Source organism: Homo sapiens, chromosome 1 (assembly GCF_000001405.40).
Source record: "Homo sapiens chromosome 1, GRCh38.p14 Primary Assembly".
NCBI classification, from domain to species: domain Eukaryota; kingdom Metazoa; phylum Chordata; class Mammalia; order Primates; family Hominidae; genus Homo; species Homo sapiens.
Window position 1 is genome coordinate 51,305,567 of NC_000001.11, and position 27,930 is coordinate 51,333,496.

General features: G+C 51.0%; 1 protein-coding gene and 1 long non-coding RNA gene across 20 annotated transcripts in view, besides 5 other annotated features; one reads left to right on the forward strand and one right to left on the reverse strand.

Annotated features, from left to right (window-relative positions):
* The window catches only part of TTC39A (tetratricopeptide repeat domain 39A), a 57,859-nt gene that overhangs the window by 18,309 nt on the left and 11,620 nt on the right, over positions 1–27,930 (reverse strand). For 2 of the 19 annotated variants that reach the window (NM_001410793.1, NM_001297662.2), the window contains exons 1-7: positions 24,871–24,996; positions 16,155–16,259; positions 7,246–7,377; positions 6,553–6,629; positions 5,688–5,755; positions 3,695–3,864; positions 411–510 (exon numbers count right to left, since the gene is read on the reverse strand). In NM_001410793.1, coding sequence (NP_001397722.1) covers positions 411–510; positions 3,695–3,864; positions 5,688–5,755; positions 6,553–6,629; positions 7,246–7,377; positions 16,155–16,259; positions 24,871–24,911 — 693 coding nt within the window. In that variant the 5' untranslated portion in view covers positions 24,912–24,996. The other 17 variants (XM_011541053.3, XM_005270644.3, XM_006710471.3 and 14 more) reach the window with 17 other exon arrangements.
* Positions 6,001–6,502: an enhancer, noted in NCBI's record as "H3K4me1 hESC enhancer chr1:51777239-51777740 (GRCh37/hg19 assembly coordinates)". NCBI's record gives its function as "activates a minimal SCP1, AML or CMV promoter by ChIP-STARR-seq in primed H9 embryonic stem cells {active_cell/tissue: H9 hESC(primed)}" and the evidence as "EXISTENCE:reporter gene assay evidence [ECO:0000049][PMID:30033119]".
* Positions 6,503–7,002: an enhancer, noted in NCBI's record as "H3K4me1 hESC enhancer chr1:51777741-51778240 (GRCh37/hg19 assembly coordinates)". NCBI's record gives its function as "activates a minimal SCP1, AML or CMV promoter by ChIP-STARR-seq in primed H9 embryonic stem cells {active_cell/tissue: H9 hESC(primed)}" and the evidence as "EXISTENCE:reporter gene assay evidence [ECO:0000049][PMID:30033119]".
* Positions 7,391–8,206: an enhancer, noted in NCBI's record as "H3K4me1 hESC enhancer chr1:51778629-51779444 (GRCh37/hg19 assembly coordinates)". NCBI's record gives its function as "activates a minimal SCP1, AML or CMV promoter by ChIP-STARR-seq in naive and primed H9 embryonic stem cells {active_cell/tissue: H9 hESC(naive and primed)}" and the evidence as "EXISTENCE:reporter gene assay evidence [ECO:0000049][PMID:30033119]".
* On the forward strand, positions 24,088–25,715 carry TTC39A-AS1 (TTC39A antisense RNA 1). Its single transcript, NR_123731.1, has 3 exons — positions 24,088–24,243; positions 24,564–24,647; positions 25,306–25,715. It is a non-coding gene; the product is annotated as a TTC39A antisense RNA 1 (long non-coding RNA).
* Positions 24,969–25,038: a silencer, noted in NCBI's record as "silent region_875". NCBI's record gives its function as "represses an Ori minimal core promoter by ATAC-STARR-seq in GM12878 lymphoblastoid cells {active_cell/tissue: GM12878}" and the evidence as "EXISTENCE:reporter gene assay evidence [ECO:0000049][PMID:35858748]".
* Positions 25,856–25,905: an enhancer, noted in NCBI's record as "active region_1019". NCBI's record gives its function as "activates an Ori minimal core promoter by ATAC-STARR-seq in GM12878 lymphoblastoid cells {active_cell/tissue: GM12878}" and the evidence as "EXISTENCE:reporter gene assay evidence [ECO:0000049][PMID:35858748]".

Below are 27,930 nucleotides of genomic sequence, written 5' to 3' on the forward strand. Positions count from 1 at the left end.
AAGACTTAGTTCTCTGTCCCCTCTAAGTCATCAGCTGGTTTCAGGACTGTCTCCTTCCCTGACACTGGTAAATGTTTAACCAGCAGCTCTCCAGGGCAGAGAAAGCCCTGATTTATTGTGTGTGCCAAGGTCGGGTGCTGTGAAGGTTCCACCATGGTGGATTTCAAGCTACTGGCCTGACTTGGGAAGAAATGCACCGATGGACTCTGGAGCTGGCTCCAGCGCCCACACCACCCCCACCCCAGCTGTGAGCCCCTGAAGGCTGGCCACATGTCTGGTCACCTCTGGATCCTGGTGCCCAGCACACAGCCAGGTGCAGGGGCACTTGGCAGTGACCACACATGAGTCAGGGACAGAAGGGGAGACTGAGCTCAAGCCAGGTGCTGTGGAAATGGAGGAGGAGCACTCACCAGGTTGAAGGCCCCTACACCAAGCTTCACTCCTCCTTCAAAGTGCGGGTGGTTCTCACCCTTGCAGTATTGTGAGGACTGAACAAGGCTGTCCAGCTCCCTGCAGAGAGATGCCAAGTCCTGTTTCAGCCACTGCTGGGGGTGGGGGGTAGGGGCTGGGACCCCTTCCAGCTGGGCCTCAGGTAAACTCCCTGGTGGTGGATTCATACAGTTCTGGTAATCCTGAGAGCTGGTATTTGAGGAATTTCGAACCCCATCTCCCACCATGATAACACACTCCTCACCCCCTGAATTTCAGCCGTATGGGCCCTGGCACACTCAGCCATGGGCAGCTTCTGGACATTTGTTCGTATTCCACATCCTATCTAAAAGAGGTTTTCTCAGCCTCCGCGCTACTGACATTTTGGGCTGGATAATTCTTTGTTGGTGGGGGTGGCAGGGGAGCTGTTCTGTGCATTGTAGGATGTTTAGCAGCATCCATGGCCCCTGAGCACCAGATGCCAGTAGCATCGTCTCCCTAGCTGGACATCCAGAATGTCTCCAGACACTGCCAAAAGTCTCACAGGGGGAAGTCACCCCTAGCTGAAAACCACTGGGCTAACCAAAACACCTCCTCCTTCAGGAAGTCTTCCTGGAGTCTCCTGGTTGGAATTCAACTCTATTTCTCCTGGTTACCAACTGCACAGAGCCCCTAGCCCAGCCACCTGGGGCAGGACAGAGGCTTTTAATGATGTGTCTGCCTCCTTCCTGGGCTGACAGCATTTTGAAGGCTTTCAATTAGCAAGCTTGAAGCTTCTCTGTGCCAGGCACTGGAAGACAGCAGGGACCAAAACCACCAAGCCATTGCCCCCACAGCATTCTCACTTTAAGGGACAGACCCCCCCCCCCCGCCCCCCGATTGAGTCACTATGAGGGTGATGACAGGCTCCAAGGAGAAGAGTCCTTGGGCCTGACTTAGTCTGGGGATAGGAAAGGCTTCCCTGAGGAGGTGACATTTGAGCTGAAATCTGGTACAGAAAGCCCGGTGCAGAAAGTGTTTCTGACAGAGAGAACAGCACGTCCAAAGGCCCTGAGGTCGGAACCACCTTGGCATATTTGAAGAACTGGGGGAAGGCCCAATGACCTAAGGCAGAGTGAAGTGGGAGATGTGGCAAGAAGGGCCAGGGTGACCTCCCAGGAAGAACTTGGCAATAACCCAGGACTTCTTTTAAGAGCAAGAGGAGCCTTGGGAGTTGGCAAGGGGTGGCCTGACAAGGTGTGTGCTTTGGTGACCTCGTTCTGGCAGCTGGTAGGGAGGCTGACGGGGCCAGAGCACTTGTCTGGTTTTTCTAGAAAAATTCTAGCATAGGCCTCCAAGGTAACATGATGTCCACATGCTATATGGTACATTATACCCTAGCAATACCTTGTAACAAGCTCACAATATCCCTGCAGGGAAGCAGCCACATTAAATGGGGAGATAAAGATGATAAATAGGCCAGGCGTGGTGGCTCACGCCTGTAATCCCAGCACTTTGGGAGGCCGAGGCAGGCAGATCACCTGAGGTCAGGAGTTCGAGACCAGCCTGGCCAATGTGGTGAAACCCCATCTCTACTAAAAATACAAAAAATTAGCCAGGTGGGGTGGCGTATGTCTGTGGTCCCAGCCACTCGGGAGGCTGAGGCAGAAGAATCGCTTGAATCTGGGAGGCAGAGGTTGCAATGAGCTGAGACTATGCCACTGCACTCCAGCCTGGGCGACAGAGCAAGACTCTGTCTCAAAAAAAAAAAAAAAAAAAAGACTTTTTTACTTTTCCTCTTTTTTTCATTTTGTTTTTACTGTGATAAATATACATATCATGAAATTTAACATCTTAACCAATTTTAAGTGTACAATTCAGTGGTATTAACTACATTTACATTATTATGCAACTATCCCCAATATCCATCGCCATGAATTCTTTTCCTCCTGTAAAAGTAAAACTTTATTCTCTGTCTTTTGGTCTACAGCTTCATATCTATCCTTAGCCCCCTTTGCCATGTTATTCCTCTATCTCTCCTGCCTGATGGAAAAAGCATGAAGTAAATTATCTGCCTTCTCTGTGGTGCATGTGGACTACTGAGCAGGTGTAGTAAGATTGCTGTCACTGTAAATTTATCATCACCAGCTTCAGCTGGGCTTCTCCGTACTGCCAGTCACTCTTGTGCTGTTTCCATAGTGATTTCTCCATAATCCTCTTCATATTTCAAACCTTATCTACTCTCTATAAACCTCTTGCCGCCACCCCCCCTTTTTTTTTTTTGAGATGACGTCTCGCTCTGTCACCCAGGCTGGAGTGCAGTGGCACGATATCAGCTCACTGCAACCTCCGCCTCCCTGGTTCAAGCGATTCTCCTGCCTGAGCCTCCCAAGTAGCTGGGATTACAGGTGCCTGCCACCACGCCCTGCTAATTTTTGTATTTTTAGTAGAGACAGGGTTTCACCAGGTTGGTCAGGCTGGTCTCGAACTCCTGGCCTCAGGTGATCCACCTGCCTCGGCCTCCCAAAGTGCTGGGATTACAGGCTTGAGCCACAGTGCCCAGCCTCAAATCAACTTTTAATGGAAATAAGTTTTAATGCAAAACTTGGTGAGTGGGGGACTGGATTTTCAGAGCTTTTGTTGCTGTGGGAACCATAGATAAGGGATTATGGAGCCATGTTGGGTAAAAATGTTCCAAACGGAATCTTCATTCATAAACACGGCCTGTGCCTGGGCCAGTTTGAATGTCAAGGATCCAGAGATAGCATGGAAATGATTTTGGCCTGCAGAGAGCACGTGCATGCACGTGTGTGTGTATGTGTGTGTGTGTGCGTGCATGTGTGCATGTGCATGTGTGTGTATGTATACCTTTCCTGTATACTAGAGGGGTTAAAGAGGGCTTCATGGGGAAAGTGGCATTTGGACTGGGCCTTAACAGATGTGTAGGAGTTCTGCTGCTGTTCCCAAAATGGCTGTTCCTGTGGCTGTCTCCCTGCCCCCACCAGAACACCCTGTGCAGAATCTGTGTCTTATTTTCCCCAGCAGGGGCCAGGCACGGAGTAGGCACTCAAGGGACCAAAGGGAAGAGACACAGCCAGAAAGCCAGAGGAATATGATTCCAGGAGACTGAGGTCCTGAGGGCATGGAAATCAGCCTGCAACAGCAGTCTACTAGGTTCTGGCCTCGGTTAGTACTCTTCTTCTCCCACAAAGCCGCCTGAGGGGGACAGCCTAGCAGATGCTGTGGCCCAGGGTCTCCCCACAAGCGGATGGCCAGCCCCACTCACTTGTAGGTCTGGTAGCTGTTTCGAACTTTGATGCCGCCTTTGATGAAGCTCACCATGTTCTCGTCCTGCAGGAGGAAAAGATGCTGACGGCCTGGCCCAGGTGGGCAGCTGCAGGCGTGAGAGGGATCATGCAAGGCTCTGGGCCTGACTGCCCCTCCGTGTGAGGAACCCTGGGGGGATGAGGTCGGAGGTCAGCCAAACCAGGCCTCCCTGCTCTTTGGCCCAACAAAACCTCTAAAATGCCCAGGGTTGGACCAGCCTCCCAGGTACACATACTCTGTGCTTGGAGAGAGGCCTGGAGGGGCCACGCCCAGTGATTAACAGTATCTCCCTCTAGGTGGAGGGACTGCGAGAAAGGAGGGGGGATGCTTGTTTTTGGATTATTTGTGGTTTTTACAACAAGCAGGTATTTATCACATTTATAAATGTAAAGCTCTGTTGCCTACAGCCAGCCAGCAGCTCTATTCACTGTGTACACCCAACGGAAACGGATGGACAAGGGTTGTGGAAGTTCATGATAGCCAAGAAACAGAAACAGCCCAAATGGCCACCAGCAGAAGGACAGATAAACAAACTGCGGTGTGTTCATGCAAGGGAATAACACACAGGCCAGGTGAAGAAAGCAAGCAACATAGTCACATAAGGCTGGGTGAAGAAAGCAAGACCCACACCACTTAGGAAGCTCAAAACCAACGGAAATATCACAATATGCTGTTCAGACATGAGTACAAAGCTGAGAAAGCTATTTAAAAAAAAAATAGAGTAGGGCCAAGGTGGGCGCATCACTTGAGGTCAGGAGTTTGAGACCAGCCTGGCCAACGTGGTGAAACCCCCATCTCTACTAAAAATACAAAAATACAAAAATTAGCTGGAGGCTGAGGCAGGAAAATCGCTTGAACCCAGGAGGCGGAGGTTGCAGTGAGCCAAGATCACACCACTGCACTCCGGCCTGGGCGACAGAGCAAGACTCCGTCTCAACAACAACAACAACAAAAAAGGGTAGGGGACAATAAACATAATACTCTAGGTAGTGATTCCCCTGTTGGGTACATGGACAGGGTGAGGAGGAGCCCCAGGGTGAGGAGAGTTATTGCCAGTGTTCTGTCCTCCAGTCGGGTGTGGTGTTGGTGGGTGTTCATTATTTGTAAAAATTTAATAAATAAAACAAAATTTCATTTATGGTGCAATCATTACAGTGAATCCTAAAGCAAGGACTAGGATTAATCCAATTCTCATCTCTCCAGGTCAAAAAGATAGAAAAAAAGCTATGAAATTAACCAGCACCCCAACACTAAAATGCATATGTCCCTCTCCTGCTAAATACACATATATAATGATGATAATATGTTCTCATTATAACCCAGGCTTTCAGGCAAAAGCATGCAGTGATCGTTCTCATCATTCCCACCGTGTGGTGAGGAGACCTGGGCTCCAACTTCGTCAGACCTAGGTTCAAATCCCTGCTCATCATTTTCTAATCATGTGACCTTGGGAAAGTGACCCCTCTCCTCTAAGTCTCCCCTTCACAGGCCTCTGAGGTGAAGATTAAATAACAAATGTAAATGTTAGCAAAAACAAACTGTAATGTGTGTAAGGTATGTAAAAACTACATACCTATACCGTGTGCAAAAAGTCTGGTACATCATAGGTGCTACAATGCTTGTTGAACGAATCAAATGGAAAGCAGGCTTTGAGACAATGCCTATCACCCCCATATGACCCTTAACAGGAAATGCAGCAGTCGCACAGTGGAAACAGCATCCCGGTAATGGTGGGAGCGTGTGTACTCAGGATGTGAGGAGATGATGCCCATCACTTCCCTTTGAGCCCCGCCAGGGGCAGGAGTGTGAAGGATGGGACACGATTGCTACAGGGGATGAGTCGTGGTTGCTATGGGGGATGGGTCACAGTTGCTCTAGGGGATGGGTCATGGTTGGACGTGGAAACTGATCTTCTGAAATCCCAGCCTCTTTGTACAAGTGGGGGTCCCTACCTGCAGGAAGGTCAGGGCTGCTCGCTGCAGCAGGCACTCTGCATAGCAGACCTCAGCGTGGATTTCCTCTGTGGGGAGAAAACCAAAGCCCCGTGGCCTCCTGGGACTCTAGTCAGGAGGCCTGGGACAAATCCTCACACCCCAACTTCCCCAAAAGCAAAGGGAACCTATGTCAGCACCTCTCCTGTCCCCTACCTCGTCACCCAGTGCTTCAGAGCATTCGTCACTGTCCCTAGAAGCTAGCTCATACCCTCCTCCAAGCACCACTGTAGGTGCTGTGTACCCAGCAACATCAGATGCACTGTGGGGCGTTAGAACCTTCCAGGGCTCTTGAGGAGGGTAAGGCCACTTTCCCCTATGCTGCAGAGCCCCTCACTGCTTGCGGTCAGCCACTGCTGCCTCCAGGACAGCTGCATGTGGTCATGGCACAAAGACCTAGATGGACCATGACACCCCAGACCACTTCTTCTCATGTTGTCCCATTGACTCGGCTGCTGAAACCATATTCCCCTCTGGGGCCCATGCGATCACTAGGATAATTAAATCAGTAAACTTAACTGCACATACAACTCTAAACACCCATTGGCCTGAGGAGCAGAGCCCTGGCCTTGTGACAGCTTTCCCTTTCCTTGACTTGCAGGTTCTCAGCCAGTAGTGCTATCGCATAAGTGGGTCTCACCTGCCCCCCACACCCTCACTAGAGAGCCATGCCTCAAAAGGCCCCAGCTCTGACCCATGTGTGTCCTGGCATGGACACCAGGGCCTGGCCCCCTAGGCGATGACAGGGAAGAAAACTGCCCCTTCCTGGGCCTGGAGCTGGCCACCTGGGCTTAGCATGGTTGAAAGGATGTCCTGGATGCCACACCTTCAGTGAATTGGCCCAGCGTGGGGCGGTTCACCAGGCTGCTGAAGGAATCTGTTACAGAAGACTTCCTCCGGTGCCTGAAGAGGAAAAAGAGGGGCCTCAGGTGAGGATTAGAGAGAGGCCACACTTGTCTCTGCCCCTCTCTGCTACACCCTAGAACATTCCTAAAGAGACAGAGCTAGCAAGAAAGAACACAGGCTTAGAGGTCAAACAGAAGAGGTTTGATATTCTGGCAAAAAAGTCACTTAACTTCTCTGAGGCTCAGTGCCTTCACTGGTCAAATGGGGACAGTTACCACCTGATCAGTCCTGGGGCTGAGGCTATACAGCAGCTCCTGGTCAACCCGCTTCCTGGCCAGGTGATGCTGCTCCTGGCAGCTCCCAACCTGTCCGACGTTTCGGCTCCTCTCCTTAATGTCTCTTCGTGTCCAGCCTGGCCTACCCTCCTGCCCACCCAGGTCTTGCTGCCTCCTCCTCTACTCTGTCACCCTGGTCCCTAAAAGCTGCCCAGTGACTGGCTCAGACAACATAGCTCCTGAGGCAGGGCCAACAGGGACAGCTCTTAGCACATGCAGACACAACCTCTTAGCCAAAAGCAGCAGTGCGAATAGTGGCATGTTAGGCCCTGGAATGGGCCAGGGTGACAGCAGGGTGGGCCTCCCAACCTCTGATCCCTGCCCCCAATGCCCCCAACCTCTGACACAGCATCTGTGCCTCCTTCATCATGTTGCCGGCAAGCAGGATGTCCTGAGGGTCAAAGGTCATCATGGCCTGCATCTCCAGGATGGTGGCATATGTCAGTGAGTGGTACATGCTTTCCTTGGTTCTGCCAAAGAGAAGAGACGTTGAGAGCACCACCTTATAGAGCCCCAGAGGCAGCTGGTCCTGGGCAGCTCATCTCCACCCTCCTCCATTCTGCAGTGAGGTGAGGGGACCAGAGGTCCAGGCACGGGGAGGGCCTTGGCCAGGTCTAATCTGCTCACTGCTACTCAAAAGACCTCGGATTCTGTTTCCAGCTTGCCTTCTTCCTGCTGAGTGGCCCTAAGTGATCTACCAGATTTGAGCCTCAGTTCCTCATCAGCTCGGTAGGGGTGGCAGCAGCATAGCTGCCATGAGCACTGAGAAAGGGTTTAGTGCATGTCGGCCAGAGGCTGCCCTTCCCTGCACCCAGTGCCACCCTCTTGCCTTCTGCCCCCACCTCCTGCAGGCTGAGCCCAAGTCCTGTCTGTGAGATCCTGTTTAGCCCAAACCCCACCCCTGGGCCGCCCTCAACCTCACTTCCCTGGACCTCCTCACTAGTCACCTGCTGCCTCTTCCCACTCCCTCCCCTCATCTGATCATGGTGCCCAGTGGTTACACCTTCCCATGGCTCCCACATCCTAGGAGATCCTGCCGGGGCTAAAGCTCCATGAGACGCCGGCTCTGCCCACCTCTCCAGCCCTCTTGATGTTTCTGCTCCTCACCCACCCCCATCTGGTCACATTCAAGATTGCACCCCCAGCCACACTGAACCACACAAACCTTCCATGAGAAAATCCCACATTTCCCTCCTCCAGGCCTTTGCCCAGCCTGTTCCCTCAGATTGCAATGCCCTTCTTCGGCCAGGTGTGGTGGCACAGGCCTGTAATCCCAGCACTCTGGGAGGGCAAGGCTGGAGGATTGTTTGAGCCCAGGAGTTTGAGACCAGCCTGAGAAACATAGTGAGACACTGTCTCTAAAAAGTAATAATAATTTTTTTAAAAAAGAAAGAAATGCTCTTCCTCTACATCTCCTGACATATCTGTCAAGGCCTCAAATGCCTCCCAGACCACTGGGAATCCAGGCCTCCTCCTCAGGGACTCCATCTGTAACTGAGGCACGGGCCACGCTGAACTGACATCAGCATAGGCTCAGCTCTCCCCATACTGTGGGCACCTCGAGGACAGAGCTTGTGTGTGACTCATCTCTGTCCTCAGCACCGATGTCAGGGCTGAGCCAAGGTGGCCTCAGGAGCCTCTGGGCTCCCTGCTCCTTCACCGACCCAGGCTCCTCAGCTGAAGGGTGTGTTGGGGGCAGGGGGTGGCATTTAGTCCATCACATGGAGAAGGCAACAGGCAGGGAGGGACGGGAACAATGCCAGGTCCTCTCTGTATGTGGAGGGAGTCACTTAACATGTCTGGGCCTAGATTTCTGCTTCTGCAAAATGGGGACGATAATGCCAGCCTGCCCGGGTCCCTGCGAGACTGTGGGACTGACTGAGAGCGCCTTTACTCCCTTCCCCAGGTCTCCTCGTGAATTATTTATGAATCTCCTCAGTGCCAGGTTTATGCTGGGAACTTCAGAGGAAAGAGAGATGACTAAGGTTTACAGGCTGTTTGGTTGTGAAATCATGTGACTTTACCCCTTTTCCTGCTTTTCCTGTTCATAAAACACTCATAAGTTAAGTTACTTCTGGGTGACACTCCTGTGATCCTTGAGGGTCAAAGGAAGGAAACCAAGGCTGCTCTACCACTCGCCAGCCAGGGGCACTCTCTGGATGCTCCCAGGCCTTTGCTAGGACTGCTTAATCTGCAGGCAGTGGCTTGTAGAGAGGAGCAGGCTGCCCAGAGTGGGGGCCAGAACCAGGTTTCAGAGTCCCTCAGACACAGGTTGGAGTCAGCTTTGCCAGCTACCAGCTGTGTGACCTGGCATGTCTCATGTCTCATAGCCTCTCTGAGCCTCAAGTTTTTCCCTGCGGAAGGAAAACCTTAACTCTTCTCCCCAATGGGTTTTTGCATGGCTTAAATAGAATACCCAGGCCAGGGGCCACTGCACCAAAGCTCGGTAAATATGAGTCCCTCCGTGTCCTGCGTCACTTCCCTGCATAAAGTCCTTCTCCTCGAGGAGGGGCTTCCCTGGCAGCACACAGACCCATCCCCCAGATAACACCCCCAGCCCCCAGGCCTCTCCATCTCTCAAGTCCTTGTCTCTCTCTTCCTCTCCCACTGCAGGTCTGAGGCCCGGGACTCAGCACCACCTGCCCAGCCCCACCTGTGGAAACTTGTCTGGTGCTGGGCCCAGAAAGAGGGACAGCCCCACCCGGGCAGCTGGCAGAAATGTGGAATTTCTAGTCTGAGGCCCAAGGCCCCAACAGGCACCTGTGGCTAAGAATACTAGCCCCTCCCCAGCCTACCTCCTGGAAGCCCCCAACTCTAGTCTGAACTGGGAAATGAAGTACAGAGGTATGACAACCCTCAAACCTCAGGCACTCCAAGTTTAGCTTGTACCCAAGTTTGTATTTGCATATATATCATCTAGGCCGCTAGTCCCCTCATTCCTGAGCTGTCCTCTCACTCTGGGACATGTCTACTGGGGTCCCACCTTCTTGGGCCCAGACCGGCTGTCAGGATAGGGAGGGCACTGGAAGGCAGAGGCAGCCCCTTGGCCTCTCCAAGTCTCTTCCTCTTCGTGCTCACTGAAGCTCCCCCTACTCCACTTTCTGGTCCTTTCAGACCCCACTTCATTGTCTTCCTCTCCAGCCCAAGTTGCTTCTATGGACTCCCCATCCCCAGTCCGCTGTCCATCACCCTGCCTTCTTCCTTCTGGGACCTGCCTCAGCTCCTCCCACTCCAGCCAAGGTGAGTGTCTCCATCTCTCAGATACTCTAGACCCTCATTCACTACTGAGCCTTTGCACAGGCTGTTCCCTCTGCCTAGAAACGCCCTCCATCTGGCTGACTCCTTCTCATCCAGTCCATCTCAGTGTAAATGTCACTTTTTCCAGTAAGCCTTCCAGGGCAGCTTCACGGGTGTGTGGTCTATGCTGTTGCACAGGGCCTGTGCCTAAAAAGGGCCCATGTTTGGTTTAATTCTCTGCTGTCACTGTTTTTAAATTTTAATAATATTTGAACAAATGACCCTGAATTTCTATTTGGCAATGAGCCCCAGGGAATGAGGCAGCCCTCCTGACCAGCCCCTTTCCCACAGGAAATGGGGTCCCTGGGTCGTTCTCGGCACCCCTTATTGCTTGTTTCACCATTTCCCTGCTGGACCCTGAGAACAGCCCACGTCTTGCTCAGTAATGGAGCCCCAGCACCCAGCACACTGCCGGGCCCAGGAGGGCGCTCAAAGGCTGTTGCTGAATGAACCAGTGACAGGTGCCCAACCACCTCCATCCTTTGAGTCATAGCGTGACCTTGTCTTCATCACACAGAATGGCTCTGCTTCTGGAGTCTTAAAGGATGCCGCCGCCTTCCCAGCTATAAGCCTCCTGACCTGCCCATACTGGCTCATCACTCCCGCTGCCCATCCTCCCTCCTCCAGCCTGTCCCCTCTTCCTGACTGCTTAGCCTAGTGTCCTCATACCAGTCTCTCTCTTTCAACATACTCAATGCCAAGCCTGCCAACCTTCTGCTGAACCTAGCTAGGAGCCCAGCTCAGGAGCCATGCAACTGCCCACTTTCTCCACACTGCCACTGAGCAATGCTGGAGAAAGCTGCCCCCTACACAGACAGACACAGGCTGGACTGGGGCCTCAGCCTCGGCCAGGCCTGGCATCCTGCCCAGAAACACCTTTTCCCCTCTCCTTATTATCCCTGCAACACCACCTGGCCCCTCGCTCTTGGCAGGTGACCTTGCCTCTTCCCTCAGAAAACTACAGAACACTCAAGGGCATACCCTGAACTTGCTGCACCCCCACACATGCCCCCAGTGCACCCTTTCCACCTCCTTCACTCCTCATGGTTTGGGGGAGGCAGATGTGAGGCCCTGCCCAAGGTAAATGACGCCAACCCAAGGGGGAGGGCAAACCACACACACAGCAGTCAGTGTGTGGTTTGTGCAGCTGGAGGACCTGGATCCAAATCCCACTCTGCCATTTATTAACCACGATCATGTAATTCAAGAAAGCCAAAAGCAGTAGCCTCCATGTCCCAGAGACAGTGCGTCAGGTCAGACTCAGTGCTAAGTGAAATATGCTAGAAGCAGAGACAATGCTACTCAAAGGCATGACTTATGGAAAGCAGAGGCAAGGCGGGGAAGGGAGCTAGGAAAGCCCAGATGCCCCATGCAGAGAGAAAGAGGAGCACCATCCCCCACTGCATGGGACCAGGACAATTAAACGAGACAATGTGTGCAGCGAAGAACAGCGAATGACACTGGGCCCAACATCTTCTGAAGCTTTGGTGGCCATCAGTGAGGAAGGGAGGCTGTTTTCCAGCAAGAATTGTTTTCTCTAGACCCGTGGTTCTCAATGGAAGTGCCAGGGTATCCCCACTCCCAATGTGAGGACATGTGGCAATTTCTGCAGACATTTTGGGTTGTCACAGGTGGTCTGGGGGTGGTGTGCTACTGACATTACTATTTGGAGGAAAACTGTTAAAAAGAAAGAAAGGGCCTGGTGCGCTGGCTCACGCCTGTAATCCCAGCACTGTGGGAGGCCAAGGCGGGTGGATCGCCTGAGGTCAGGAGTTGGAGGCCAGCCTGGCCAAAATCGTGAAACCCTGTCTCTACTAAAAATATAAAAAATTAGCCAGGCCTGGTGGCGCGCACCTGCAATCCCAGCTACTCAGGAGGCTGAGGCAGGAGAATCGCTTGAACCCAGGAGGTGGAGGTTGCAGTGAGCCGAGATCACACCATTGCACTCCAGCCTGAGCGACAGAGCAACACTCTGTCTCAAAAACAAACAAACAAACAAAAAGAAAAAAGAAGGAAAGGATCCTTTTCTGGAATAAGGCAGGGGCTAAGAAACAGAAGCTGCACTACTTCCCACGTGAGATAACAGGTGGCCCCATGGGAAGACTGGATTCCTGGGGTGTCTCTGTTAGGACGAGGGTTTCCTTTGGCGATCCTGAGTGCTACAGGACTCCTGTTAGAATGCCCTCCTGAGGTGAGGGGGCCACAGAGGGAAAAGCCCTTTCAGGGACCATGTGGCAGGGACAGCTCGAGGACCCAGGCACAGCCACAGCCTTTGGTTTTAATATTTTCTCCTGTGTTTCGACTCCCTTCTGTTGGCCCCAAGTCTGCAGGACAGTTTAGAGTAGGCTGAGGCATGGCCTTATCGGGGCTTCAGTGGGTGAGGAGAAAGGTGCCTGATGTGTCTGTGCTTGGGGTGTGGGACCGGCTGAGCAGCTGTGTCCTGGGCAGCTGGATTCCAGTGCAGGAGGGTGGCTATGGTCTGGGGTCCAGGCTCGAGTGAGTGACAGGAAATGACTAGGGGAGAAGCAGGAGCTGGAGAGCCTTCCAAGAAAACTGAGAGGGGAACCTGGACATTCCAAGACAGAGCAGGCTGCGGCTGGGCCTGCCTCAGGCCATGGTCATGCTCTTGCTGCAGGCCCTGACCCACCCAGCCTGACCCCCTCAAGCCAGGTCCCCTCAGACAGTGGGAGTATGGTGTGGAGACTGCCACACGCCCTGGAACACCCACCCCACCCCAGAAGCTGGGCCACTGACCCTAGACGGGAGAAAGATGGGTCCATGATGTCTACAGAAATTGAAGAGGTCAGGCCTGGGGACTTGTGGAAACCAGTCCCCTGGCCTCAGCATTCACTTTTCCTTGGAGCTTGGGTGCAGGGGACAAGCTGGAGCTGAAAAGAAGGGGACTACGGAGAGTAGGTGGCAGAGATGATTAGACCCCAGCCCCTAGTCTCCCAATTCAGGCCGCCAGGGCTCTCTGTCCAGGCTGAGAAATGGACGACTCCTCTCTGGAGAAGTTAAGCCATCCCGGGTGCTGACATCTGGGGGCCAGCTCTCTAGGTCATCCAAAGCCAACCCCACCAACTACAAGGCAGCTTGGCACAGACCTCCCAGCTGGCCTTCGCATGAACTCATTCTTAAACAGGACTAGACAGACAGCCAGGGATGGTTGGGTTTTTGAAGAAAGCACCCCATGAGAAGAGGATTCCCCATTAAACAGACTCCAGGAACATGGAGAAAGCCTAGTTATGCAGGAAAAGAATGAAACATTTTAAAGAGAAATAATATTGTGACAATAATAACAATAAATACTTTATTAGATACTTAATACATGCCAGGCACTGTCCTAAGGGCCTCATATTCCAAATATAGATATAAAGAAGTTGGTGCACCATAAACCAAGAAGAAGATGTTATAGGGAAAAAAGAACATTCAGAGAATAAAGAATACCAGGAAATTAATCATATGGTTACAGAGATAAAGAAGTCAACAGAAGGAATTAATGAGAAGGGTGAGGAAATCTTCCAAAAATCAGATGGAATAAAAAGATAAAGCAATGGGAAAAAGGAGAGGGAGAGGGAAGAGGCTCAGAAGAGGACTGACCTAGGAGGTCCAAAAGGTGAGTTAAAGAAAGCCCAGGAAAGGGAAACAAGACGGAACCATCGTACAAGAGCACTTCCCAGAACTGAGAACCCGCATAACAATCCAGGATAAAAAAGACTTCATTGCCACACATCATGGTAAAATTCCAGATTTTCAGAAATACAAGAGCCAATCCTAAACCTTTCTGGAGAAGGAGTAAGAAGAATTAGGGTTCTCACAGCTACAGTAAATGCTAGAACACTGAAGCAAGGTATTCAAAATTCTTAGGGAAAAAAATATATTTATGCAAGTCTTTCTTATAAAATTTCTTTTTTTTCTTTTTCTTTTTTTTTTTTTTCCAGACAGAGTCTCACTCTGTCACCTAGGCTAGAGTGCAATGGAGCAATCTCTGCTCACTGCAACCTCCACCTCCTGGGTTCAAGCGATCCTCCCACCTCAGCCTCCTGAGTAGCTGGCATTACAGGCACTCGCCACCATGCCCGGCTAATTTTTGTATTTTTAGTAGCGACGAGGTTTCACCACGTTGGCCGGCTGGTCTTGAACTCCTGACCTCAAATGATCCACCCACCTCAGCCTCCCAAAGTGCTGGGATTACAGGCATGAGCCACTGCGCCCAGACTTTCTTAGGAAATTTCTATAGGACATTCCCTGGCAAATGAGGGGGACACAAGAGACAAGACCTGGAATCAAAGAAACAGGAGAAAAGCAAAGGAGCTCCAGGAAACAGCCAGGAGGAGCCAGAAGACATGTCTGTCCTCCCAAGGATAGGTTTCCAGGAAAATGAGGGGGGTACTGAGTGCTTACTTGATAGGTTTCAGCATTTTGGGAAAAACTCAACGATAGGATGATCTGATGGAGTGGTTATAAAGACTTACGGATAAATGTTTAGCAAATTAGGCCAATGGGAAAAGCAATAAAATTATTAACTCTAGAAGGAAATAGTCTCGCACATGATTTTCTTTGCAATAAGCATTAATCACAAAGGTATAGTAAGGTAAATACTGATTCTTTCTTTCTTTTCTTTTCTTTTTTTCTTTTTCTTTTTCTTTTTTTTTTTTTTTTTTTTGAGACAGGGTTTTGCTCTGTTGCCCCATGCTGGAGTGCAGTGGTGCACAAGATCACAGCTCACTGCAGCTTCAACCTCCTGGGCTCAGATAATCCTCCCACTTCAGCCTCCCAAGTAGCTGAGACTATAGCTACTATATACTATAGCTGAGACTATAGGCGCACACCACCACACCCAGCTAATTTTTTGTATTTTTTTTTGTAGATATGGAGTTTCACCATGTCCAGGCTGGTCTCAGACTCCTGGGCTCAAGCGATCTACCTGCCTCGACCTCCCAAAGTGCTGGGATTATAGTCATGAGCCACCACGCCTAGTTAAACACTGATTATTGATTTACCCCAATATTGTGATATAATGACGAGAAAGATGAGGGAAGGGAGGTGGGGCAGGGGTGTAAGAAAGCTAAATTCTCATCTATCAGTAGATGTTTTCTGGTTTTTTTTTTTTTTTTTTTGAGACAGAGTCTTGCTCTGTCACCCAAGCTGGAGTGCAGTGGCACGATCTTGGCTCACTGCAACCTCCACCTCCAGGGTTCAAGTGATTCCCCTTCCTCAGCCTCCTGAGTAGCTGGGATTACAGGCACACACCACCACACCCAGCTAATTTTTTATATTTTTGGTAGAGATGGGGTTTCACCATGTTGGCCAGGCTGGTCTTGAACTTCTGACCTCAAGTGATCCACCCGCCTTGGCCTCCCAAAGTGCTGGGATTACAAGCGTGAGCCACCACGCCCAGCCCAATAAATGTTTTAAAGTGATAAGAAAGGGTGAGTTTTACGGTATCTGAATTACATCTCAATTTTTAAAACTGAGAAAAAGTGATAAGTAAAGAAAAAGGAGTATACGCCCATTATTGATTTGTATTTACAGAAACATGGCAGTGAGTACTCAAGGAAATGGTCAAGTGAGCAGCCCTCTTGATTGCCCTAAAACACCCAGGAAAGCAGGCAACCTAAGTCTTTAGTGCTTTGGGGAAAAATAAACAAAGGAGTCATGTGAGAGCTGGTGAGGATGAAACTCCAAGTGGATTCTGCGGGAACAAGTAACAAAGTGTGAAGAACCCTCAAGAGCCTAAGAAGAAGCAAGTCACAGTGACCTTGGAGAGGGCCTGGCTGCACACAGGCCGTGGAATGGAGCTTGAGCCATTTTTATGGGACTTCTCAGAGGTCCTGGTGACCCAGAAAGCCAAAGGCATTTAGTTACACAGGGTTCCTCTCATACAAGACCTCTGGTTCTCCCTGACCGTCATGCACACCCCCTACCCCAACCGGGGCTTGAGCCTCACCTGGGCTTGAGGTAGCTGAGTGCTTCTGAGAACTGGTTGGTGAGGAAGAGGTCCAGGGCGGTCATGCACTGGTCCAGGGCCTCATGGAGGCTGCTCTCAGGAGTCCTGGGGGAAGAGATGCGGGGCATGACACAGGGGCCCTCCAACCCTCCAGCCTCTCCTGGCTGGAACAGAGCCTCACAGGGTCTACTCAGCCTCCCTGGCCAGCCTTGGGTGCCTGTCACGAGCTCCTCCAGGCTGCCACTCTGTACTGGGACGCAGGGACAATTTGGACCCACCTCTTGGTGTTCCCAAGGGTGGGAGGGGGAGCAGAAGGGAATGTCATCAGAGATCTGTTGGAGGTGGGGGAGGGGCCAAGGGCAAGGTGCAAAGAGGCCTCAGGAATCAATGATCTTACCCTCCACAAGGGTAAAGGGAGTCTTTGTGGCCCTTCTGGCCCATTGGGCTCTGCTGCCCCCCCAGGGGGTGCAGCCCAGCCACTAAATCCCACAGCCCCTTTTTCCCTCCTCCTTCTCCAAGGCCTCCTCCCTCCCCCAGGCCTGGACTCTAGAATCCCTGACGTTGTCACAATGGGCTGTCACACTATGGGTCAGCAGCCCCAAACGAGAGGCCCAGGGCCTTTCAAATTCACTTTGCCAATGGCTCCTCCAGAATACCTGAGCCCTTTCCAGTCCTTACGTTTCTCTATAGCTTTTACCACCCTCTGACGTGATATATTTTACTTATTTTTGTGTTTATTGTCTGTCTCCCTCCACTAAACTATAAGCTTCCAGGAAGCAAGAATCTTTAACTGCTGTATCCCCAGCAACTAGTATCCAGTACAAAGTAGGCTTTTAATAAATATCTGTTAGGTAAATGAATGAATGAATGAATGAATGAATGAATGAATGAATGAAGAGTCTAAGGCTAGGAAAGCAAACCCCTGACTTTTCTGGGTCTCAGCTTTCCCATATAAAAATGAGAGATGAAACTAAGAGATCCCAGAAGCCCTGCCTATTTGATGTTTTGATAATGCCTCTTCTCAAGGGGCCTCCTTTGAGTGAAAGAATGTTCCAGAAAGAGGCTTGATACTCTCCCTGAAGGGAAATCCTATTTCCCAGAAGTTAGTTAAAAGAAATTCCCTCTCCACCAGGTAAACTCCTACATATACCTTAGGGCCCAGCTCTAAAGTCTCCCACTCTGAGATGCATCAGTAGATCTTCCCAGGCAAATTGAAACATGTCTTTTTCAAAACTGAACTCGTGTTCATTCTCCCAATCTGTTCTCCCCCAGTCTTTGCCTTTCTTTTTTTTGGTGGATATGGGGTCTCGCCATGTTGCCCAGGCTGGTCTCAACAAACTCCTGGGCTCAAGTGATCCTCTTGCCTCAGCATCCCAACGTGTTGGGATTACAGGCGTGAGACACCATGCTTGTCCACTCCTCTACCCAATAAGCAACACTCCTCTACCCAATTCCCCAAGCCAAAAATCTGATAATCATCTTTGCCACATCCCTTCTCTGGCCTCTGTCATCCCCTCCATCACTAAACTCCACTAAATCCCATCATTTCTACTTCCTTTTTTATAAAGAATTTTTACAGAGATAGGGTCTCATATGTTGCCCAGGCTGGTCTTGAACTCCTGGGCTCAAGTGATCCTCCCACCTCATCCTCCCAAAGTGCTGGGATTATAGGTATAAGCCACAGCCTACTTCCTAACATCTCTCAATCAACCCCTTCTATGCCCAATACCTTCTGGTCCAGGCCAGCACCATCTTTACCCAGGTCTGTTGGAACACTCTCCATTCCACTCTTTCCACCTTCTTCTCTCTTCTCTGTTAGACCTTTTTATTCCATATTTCATGTCTCTTAACTAACTTCTATACTATCTCTTGGGCTCTCTGTTAGATCCTGAGTAATTTCTTTCATTTCACCAGCTCTTTCATTAGGTGTGTCTGACCTGCTACTTATCCTACCTACTGAATTTTTCATTTCAATGATTATATTTTTCATTTTGTGAAATTCCACTTGGTTCTTTTTCAAATCTTAGTTATTTGGGGTAGTATTATGTTCCCTGCCTCAAGTCCATCTTCAATTCCTTTATACATTTTAAACATAATTATTTCTATTCTATATCTCATAATTCTAGCATTTTAGACTCTCAGGGAAACTAATTCTGCTCTTTCTTGTTTCTGGTGCCTGCTGCTCACAGTGGCTTATTTCCTTGTGTGTTTTGCAATTATATTACAAATTCATGTTTGACAGATCCAAAGGGACTGTGGGACAGGATACATTGCTCCAGGAAGGATTTTTCATTTACTCTGTCCAGGTTCCCAGGGGAACTACCACCCTGAGACCATTTAAGTTACTTTTTTAAGTTTATGGTTTCCAGGACCACAAAGGTAGTGGTGTGCCATCAAACCCAAAGTTTGTGTGATGGCAGACCAGTATTTATCATTTTTTAGGGAGTCTTTTTTTCCCACCAGAAATGCTGTCTAACTTTGCTGGTGGGGGCGGACCTTTTTTCTAGCCAATCTTCCTATTCACTGAGGCTGTAGCCCTTGGAGGGTCCCAGATTTAAGTGTTGAGTTGGGGAATGCTAAGTTCCAACTCCTTAAACTGTAACTGTGTAGGCCCAAGACCTTCTTTCCCATCTGTTGAGTGGCCGTTGAAACTCCTGGCTTTAGATTTCTGAAATGTGTAAATAGCCTAAGGTTGCTGTGGCTTCATCTTGTTTGCCAGCCTGACTTCAGTTCTCTCTTCACGCTTGGCTGGAGGGGGTTTCTGTTACTTCTGTGGGAGTTCAGGAATGTACTGAATTATTTTATTTATTTATTTATTGAGGAGAGGGTGTCTCTCTGTTGCCCGGGCTGGAGACCAGTAGTGCGATCTCAGCTCACAGCAACCTCCTCCTCCCAGGTTCAAGCTATTCTCCTGCCTCAGCCTCCCAAGCAGCTGGGATGACAGGTGCCCACCACCATGCCCGACTAATTTTTTTGTATTTTCAGTAGAGATGAGGTTTCACCATGTTGGCTAGGCTGGTATCAAACTCCTCAGGTGTTTGACCTCAGGTGATCCACCCGCCTCAGCCTCCCAAAGTGCTGGGATCACAGGCGTGAGCCACTGCACCTGGCCAGGAATGTACTTTAAAGGATGTTTGTTGTAACTCATCCCCACCTCTAGGTAGTTTCTTTGAGAGAGAATGTTGGAAGCATTATTTCCCCTAACCTGTCTCTCCCATAATTGCCAAAGATACATCTTTAAAACCCACATCTGTCTGGGCATGGTGGCTCATGCCTGTAATCCCAGCATTTTTGGAGGCTGAGGCGGGCGGATCACCTGAGGTCAGGAGTTCGAGACCAGCCTGACCAACATGGAGAAACCCCGCCTCTACTAAAAATACAATATTAACTGGGCGTGGTGGCATATGCCTGTAATCCCAACTACTACGGAGGATGAGGCAAGAGAATCGCTTGAACATGGGAGGCAGAGGTTGTGGTGAGCAGAGATCGCACCATTACATTCCAGCTTGGGCAACAAGAGCAAAATTCCATCTCAAAAAAAAAAAAAAAACCACAAATGTCACTTCTGGACTTAAAATCTTTCCCTGGCTTCCCATTGCTCTTAGGGTAAAGGCCAAGTTCCTTTCCATGGCCTAAAAGGCCCCACCTGATGTGGTCCCTGCCCCTCTCTTCAGAGGCTGGGATGGTGTCTGTCTCTGCCCAGGGCATAGCCTAGTGACTGGTGTTCAAGCCATTCATCTCTGTTGGATGAATCAATGAGGCAGCAGTGAGCATCTACTGCCTGGGTGTTTAACTGGCATTCTCTCTGACTGCTCTCAAAATGCCCTGTGAAATGGGATTATTACCCCCCCACACCTATTGCAGATGGGGAAACTGAGGCACAGAGGACGGGTAACTTGGCTAAGGTCACACATCCAAGCTAAGGTCACACATCCAAGCATGCATTCTAACCCAAGTTTCTGCCTGAGCCAGTACCCATCAGCTCAGCCCCAGAAAGTCAAGCCCATTGTTGTGGTTTATGCCAACCTCTAAACAATTTCTGAGCCAAGAGCCTGCCTCCCATTTCTGCACACACCCCTCACCACCTCCATCCCCCACCGAGGAAAAGGTCCTGTCTACTTGGTCTACCTGGAGAGAAAGATCCAGGCCGGATGGACAGTCAGTGCAGACAGGCACAGTCCTTCCCTCGGCAGCCCCGGCACCTCTTCTGCTTAACTGGGATGAGGCTGTCTGCGGTAACCTCCCCCAGACTGGGGGCGAGCTGAGCCCTGGGCTGATTTCCTCCCTCCTTCCCTCCCACAAGCACCCGCGAATCTCGTGCTCTAGGCTATGCGTGGGACTGGGCTCTGGGGACACAGAGTGGACACAGACCTAGGCCTGCCTCTTCAGGAGCTCACAGCCTACAGGTGACAGATGCAGACAGGGCAGTGACCGCTACAGTGCTCAGGGCTGTGATCATGGGAATCACTGGGGGCCAAAGGGGCCCAGAAGACACCTCTAACTCAGCCTGGGGCACTGAGGAGGCTGGGCGGAAGGAGGATGGCATCATGGAAGGAGGATGGCATCAAGGAAAATGCCATCAAACTGAGAACAAGATGGAGAAAGAAGTCTAAGAAGGGGAAACAGCACACACACAGGGCTGGAGGCATGACACCACAGTTAGGAGGTACAAGCGTTCTGGAAGGGCTTGGAAGACAGAGGCTCTGCAAGGCCAGCTAAATGGAGGGGTGAGGCTGCGGTGGCTAGAGAGCTCAGGAAGGCTGGAGACATCCGCCCCATTTGACTTAATAATAGCATTAACAACCAACCACCCATCGCCACAAAGAGATTACCACTTCAACTTATTTAAATTGATGACTGCATTATTTCACTCAGTCCTGCCAGCAGGCACCCTTATCTGTCTTTGATAGATATGGCAGGGACAGGCAGTGAAGACAGGAACGCAGTCAGGCTCCTCTCAGGAGCCTGGGAGAAGACAAAAATGCATTCTGTGGAAGCAACAGCGCCAAACCTTTCCCCTCACCTGGCTGAGACTGAGGCCCCCATTTCTCCACAGGCTGCCCCTGCGTCTCCAAGACCTTTCTTTTCCAAGGACACCTTGCCTGGCCCAGGTGACATCTATTCCTGCGGTGATGGTGGCCTCTCCACTGTGTGTTGGGGAACAGAGGAGAGGGACGCGGAGAAGAGGTGCTGGGCTGGATGGAGCAGAGCTGGTGACCAATGCCAGGAGCTCTGGCACAGTGGTGGCGGCTCTCTCATTCAGATCCCACCCACACTTGAGGCCCAAACGAGAAGGGAGCTAGAGGGTGGGAGGGGGTGTCAGGTAGCCTGGAGCCGCCCCCACTCTCCCCTTCCCTCCCACTTCTCTACTAGAGTTGGCTTGGACTGCTGCTTCTGTGCCTCATGGGCAGATCTGGGTAGAGCTGGGAGACCCTCAGTTCCCACTGAGAACAGAAAATCCTCCTACCTCCATCCCAGTCAGGATGAGGTGGGTGTGGGGTGGGTGAGGCGGCGGAGCGGTCGCTCAGGAAGCCAACTGCAGTCAGAGCTGGATTTTAATCCCTGCTCCACCACTGAGGGGAACTTTGGCTCAACGAGTAAAATAATCTGCCCATGGGGATCTGTTGCTTTAGAAGTGATCTTTCTAAATTGCAAAAATGATTGTGACTCTCCTTCCAAAGAGTCCCCCTTAGCTGCACATAAATGTGTCACGGAGTGATGTAGCATGACCTAATGCAGTGTGGCCTGCAAGAGTTCTGAAAGCAGACAACCCTAGACTCAAGCTGCAGCTATTACTTGCTGGATAACCTTGGGAATGTTCCATACCCTCTATGAGCCTCCGTTTCCTCATCAAGGAGATGGGAATGACAGTACTTACCTCCCACGGTTTTTGTGAAGAATGACTAAGACTATGGAAAGCACAAGAGTACTCAGAAAATGTGAGTAATTATTATTTTTTTCTAAAATTATGTATTGCCATTTTTTTTTTTTTTTTTGAGAGAGGCTCTCTCTGTCGCCCAGGCTGGAGTGCAATGGCACTACCTGGGTTCACTGCAACCTCCGCCTCCCGGGTTCAAGAGATTCTCCTGCCTCAGCCTCCCGAGTAGCTGGGATTACAGGTGTGCACCACCATGCCAGGCTAATTTTTGTATTTTTAGTAGAGACAGGGTTTCACCATGTTGGCCAGGCTGATCTCAAACTCCTGATCTCAAGTCATCCACCTGCCTGGGCCTCCCAAAGTGCTGGGATTATAGGCGTGAGCAACTGCGTGCGGCTTTACCATCATTTCTTGATCAAGTAGCACTGACTTTATAATGAAACTAAATAACTTTAAAAGATTGAGTGGGCCAGGCGCAGTGGCTTACTCCTGTAATCCCAGCACTTCAGGAGGCCAAGGAAGGAGGATCGCTTGAACCCAGTAGTTTGAGACCAGTCTGGGCAACAAAGTGAGATCCTGTCTCTATTTTATTTTATTTTATTTTATTTAAGATCGAGTGCACATATCCAACAACCCAGCAATTCCACTACTAAGGGGGCACCCTCGTGAAACACATGTGCAAACACCATCATACAAGAATATTCACTGTCTGAATAGCAAGACACTGGGAACACTTCGACATCCATCAAGAAGGATAAACAAATGGAGGTGTCTACATAGGGTGGTATATCACACATCAGGGCAAGTGGGACAAGAGCTACAGGATCAAGGCTAAATCTGAGACCTGAAGTTGAGTGTGAAAACGCGAGCTGCAGCATGACACATGCTATAGGACTCCATTCACAGAAAACTTTGAAGAACAAACTACATATTTTTAAGACTTACACACACTGAGTAAAAGAATAAAAACAGAGAAATGATAAAACCTAAATTCAGGATGGCAAGTAATTCTGGAGAGGGAAGGAGGGAAGAGGTTTCCACAAGACTTTCAAGGGTCTCTACTATGGTTTATTTCTTAAAAAGAATATAAAATAAATGGGGCACAATGTTAATATCTGACAAAGTTGGGTGGCAAGGGTTTGTGAGTTCATTTTACTATTTGCTATATTTTTCTGAAGGCTTAAAATATTTCATAATTTTTAAAAAGGTAGAGATTTAAGGCTTGATTTGTTCACCAATGACCATCTGGGCCCAGAGCAGGCCTTGCTGAGTGTCTGTTGAGTGAGTGTCTCTGTAGTGAAGGTGAGAATGGTCCTGCTGCGTGCGGCCCTCCTCTGCTCAGACCCCACCAGGATGACACTAGCCAGGGTTGGGGACAGATGGACAGGTGGCTTCAAAGAAGAGTGGGCAGGCATGCAGAGAGGCAGGTACGGTTCTGCATAAGGAAGACCCACCAGCGTGAGAAGAGCAAGCTTGCTGTCCTGAGGCCTGCAGCAGGGCCAGAGGTGCCCGGGGTTGTAGAGGGCACTTAGGCAGGGATGTAAGCATATAAGGAAGTGGGATGAATGTGGTTTTCAGCCAGGGAGTCTAGACTTCTTTGATAGATACCTTGCTCCATGCCCGCCTTCTCTCCTGGAAACCACTTTTCTGGACCCAGCAGGGTGGTGGTGCTCAGTCAGGGCTGCACAGAAGGAACCTACCCAACCTCCAGCTTTACAAATACTTGAGCCCAGAACAGGAAAGGAACAGCCAGCCCCACTTCTGTGTTTTCCAAAGGAGGGACCAGAAGTCTAGGAAGGGTTAAGGACTTGGCCAAAGTCACACAACAAAAATGATGAAGCTGAAACTCACCAGGCAACCCTCTCCCAGGCCAGGGTGTCCCCCAGCAACCCAGCTTCCAAGCCCTGATAGAGCCACACACACGCAAGCCCTGTGGAGACTTCCAGCTGCCAGCTGGCACCAGCCTCGTCACCTCCCTGTTCATGTGTCAAGCCTCGGGCCCTTAGCAAATATTGTCACTGGTGGTGAGGCTCCAGGCAGGGTGAGCCCTCCTCCCAGCTCACCTGGGCCGGCTCTCTGCCCAGCAACCTCCCAGCAGTCAGGGCTCCTAGCAGCTGCCCCCTGCCCTGCCCACTGGGGCCCAGGAAAAGCAGAGAGTTGCTGAAGGTCTCCCGGCAGTAGCGGCTGTCACTGCTACGGGGGGTGATCTAGGTAGGGGTCCTATAGGGGTTTCTCAGTGGGATGTGGGTAGGGTTGGGCAGGAGAGCCACGTTGAAGGTGACAACACCCACTTTTTACTACCCAGGTTCCTGCTGCACCCAATGGGCCCGGCTGGCCCATACCTTAGCTGTTTAAGTTCCCCTAATGTCCCTGAAGATGATGGGGTGGGGGGATCTGACAACAGACAGAACTGAGTTCAAATCCCACCCGCAACTCTTACCTCCTGGGTGACCGATGACAAGTCACTTAAGTGCTGTGTCTCAGTTTCCTCATCTGTAATGGGGATGAGAGTAACAGGGCCCACCCCACAGGAGTGAACGCCACGAGGCAGGTGGGGAAGGCTGCTCTGAACGTGTCTGTGACTACAGCTCCGTGAGAAAGTTGGGACCCAGAAGGTGAGTGACCGACCCGGGGTCCCCGCGCCTCCGCCTCCTCACAGCCCCCTGCCCCCACTCCTGGCAGCGGCGGCGGCTGCCAGGGGCCGGGCGGGGTGGGGGCTGGAAGCCGCAGTGCGGCCCCAGGCCGGTGCGCGGGGGGAGGCCTGGCGCGGCGCCCGCCACCTGCCCGGGCCCCAGCCCGCGCCGCCCGCGCCCCCGGGCCTCCCAGCCGCGCACTTACCCCGCGGGCAGGGCTCCTGGGGCGCCGCCAGCCGAGGTCATCGCCGAGGGGCGCGGGCGGCGCTGCCCCAGCCGGACGCCAATCGCGGCCCAGGTGCTGCCGCCGCAACCCCGAGCCGGGCGCTGTGCGGTCGCGGACGCGGCGGCCGGGGAGGGGCGCGCCGGGGGCGGGGAAGGCGGCGGGGCCGGGCCGAGCCTCGGTCTCCCCACCCGCACCGTAGGGCCATGGCCGCCCGCGGCGACCCGCGCTCCCGCACCGCCGGGGGTTCTGGGCGGCCCCCACCCCCGCTCCGACAGGTGAGAGCCCGGCGCCCTCTGCGCAGACACCGCCCGGGCCGGGAGCTCGCTCCCTCCTCACACGTCCCCACCTATTTGGCGCTAGAAGTTCTTCTCCGGGACCTGAGGTCCACTTTACTGTCACTTCTCCTCCCCACAGCTTCCGCCCCGAAGCGGCCCCCACCTGAGCCGTCACCATCCTCCCGCATTAATGGGGGCATTCGTGCAGACAAAGACAGCCCCCAGAGTCAGGCCTGGATTTTAATCCCACCATCTCGCCCACTGAGTGACTGCAGGAGACCAGAAGGCGGGGAAAACACGGTTTAGCACTCACTGCTAGCTGGCAGTTCACACTGCCTTCTCAAATGATCCCCATAATTGCTATTTTACAGATGGGGAAACTGAGGCATGGGGTTCATTTGATTCACGCATGGTCACTCACCTAATAAGTGGCAAGCTAGGACTGGAATCCATCCCTCCTGAATCCAAAGCCAACACTCTGGCCCCTTTCCCCCTTGGCCCCCTCTCCCCTGCATTCCCAGTGCCTGTGTGGGGGTCACCCACAACGCTCCCCAAATGTCCACTGTGCACCGAGCCCTGAGGCGGTGTCTCCACCTGACCTGATCTTCTGGCACAGAAAGCCACTGGCCCATGAAGAGTTAACCAGTCACCATCTCCTGGCCCCAGATGCTGCTCTTAACCATGACTCATCAGAGCATGTGGCTGCCATTAGAGCTGTCCCTTCACAAAGGAGGGGACAGAAGTAAGGAAGGACTGTAGCTCCCCTGGAGCAACTATGACCTCCAGGACGTCAGAAGAGGAAGCAGAAGGGGACAGCCTGCAGAAGCAACCACGGTGGGAACAGGACTTGTACCAGATCCCAGGGGAGCCAGGCAGTTTGGGCTTGGTGGTAGCTGCTTAAAATCTAAGCAGGCTGCCTGGAAAGGCAGTGAAGTCCCATCCTGCCCATTTGTGAGCAGGGGCAGATGCTCACTTGCAAGAATCATCCCATCTCTAGGAGTCTCATATACAGGCACGAAAAAGATAATTAACTACTAGAAGTAAGCTATGATGACATCCACCAGCAACTATAAAGAATCCAGACAAGGGGAGAGACTGGGGAGCTTCCTGGAAGAGGTGGTGACAGAACTGAGCCTTGAAGTTTATATTATTTAAACAAACTGAAGTCATGGAGAGGGTGTACCAGATCGGGGAGCAGCATGGATGAAGGCATGGAAGTGGGAAAGGGTGAGGCTGGTGAGACCACAAGCAATACATGTAAAGAGGATGATGAGGCTGGGGCCCCTATCACATGTCATGCACTTTCAAATCTCTAGGCATTTAAACATGCTGTTCCCTCTGTGTGGAACACACCTTCCTCCCTTGTCACTTGTTAGTCATTCATGTAACCGGGGGTGGATCCAGAAGCTTACAATGGGGAGGCCGCTGTTCAAAAAAAGAATACAAATTTACCAATACAGGTTGAGCATTCCTAATTTGAAAATCCGAAATCCAGAATGCTCCAAAATTTGAAGCTTTTTTTATTTTCTCTTTTTTTTGAGACAAAGTCTCACTCTGTTACCCAGGCTGGAGTGCAGTGGCACAATCTCGTGATCTTGGCTCACCACAACCTCCGTCTCCTGGGTTCAAGTGATTCTCATCCCACAGCCTCCCGAGTAGCTGAGATTACAGGCATGTGCCACCATGCCCAGCTGATTTTTGTATTTTTAGTAGAGACAGGGTTTTGCCATGTTGGCCAGGCTGGTCTCAAACTCTGGACCTCAAGTGATCCGCCTACCTTGGCCTCCCACAGTGGGATTACAGGCGTAAGCCACCGCGCCCGGCCTGAAACTTGAAGCTTTTTGAGCACTGTAGTTGGAGACTGCAGGCCTGCCATGTTTGCTGTGCTGTTGTTACAGCGGACACAGGCATTCTACTGATGCTCACGTGCTGCTGAGTTACCCTGAACACTATTTTTTCACTGCATTAATGGTATGTTATATTTTTATTGTTAAGTACTTATGTGTGAATAAGGGTAAAAAAATGCTTATTGGGAGCACATAAATTCAGAGTCAAAAATGATGATGATGCCAAATAATCACAGATTGTCCACATGGATGGCTGAGAGAGTGACACTTCTTTCTGATGGTTCAGTGTACACAAACTTTGTTTCATGCACAAAATTATTAAAAATATTGTGTATAAAATTACCTTTAGGTGGCTGGGCATGGTGGCTCATGCCTGTAATCCCAGCACTTTGGGAGGCTGAGACAGGCAGATCACCTGAGGTCAAGAGTTCGAGACCAGCCTGACCAACATGGAGAAACCCCATCTCTACTAAAAATACAAAATTAGATAGGCATGGTGGCGCACGCCTGTAATCTCAGCTACTCGGGAGGCTGAGGCAGGAGAATCGCTTGAACCCGGAAGGCGAAGGTTGCAGTGAGCTGAGATCACATCATTGCACTCCAGCCTGGGTTAACAAGAGCAAAACTCCATCGCCCCCACCAAAAAAAAAAAAAAAAAAAAAATGACCATTAGGCTATGTGTATAAGTTGTATATGAAACACAAATGAATTTCATGTTTAGGCTTGGACCCCATCCCCAAGATAATTCATTATGCATATGCAAATATTCCAAAATCCATGAAAATCCAAAAATTGAAACACTTCTGGTCCAGAGCATTTTGGGTTAGGGATAGTCAGCCTGTATAAAATTGCCAGGGTTCTCCCAGAGCCTTGGCAGGGGCCAGGTAAGTGAAGAATCCTGAAGCTATAAGCTGTAT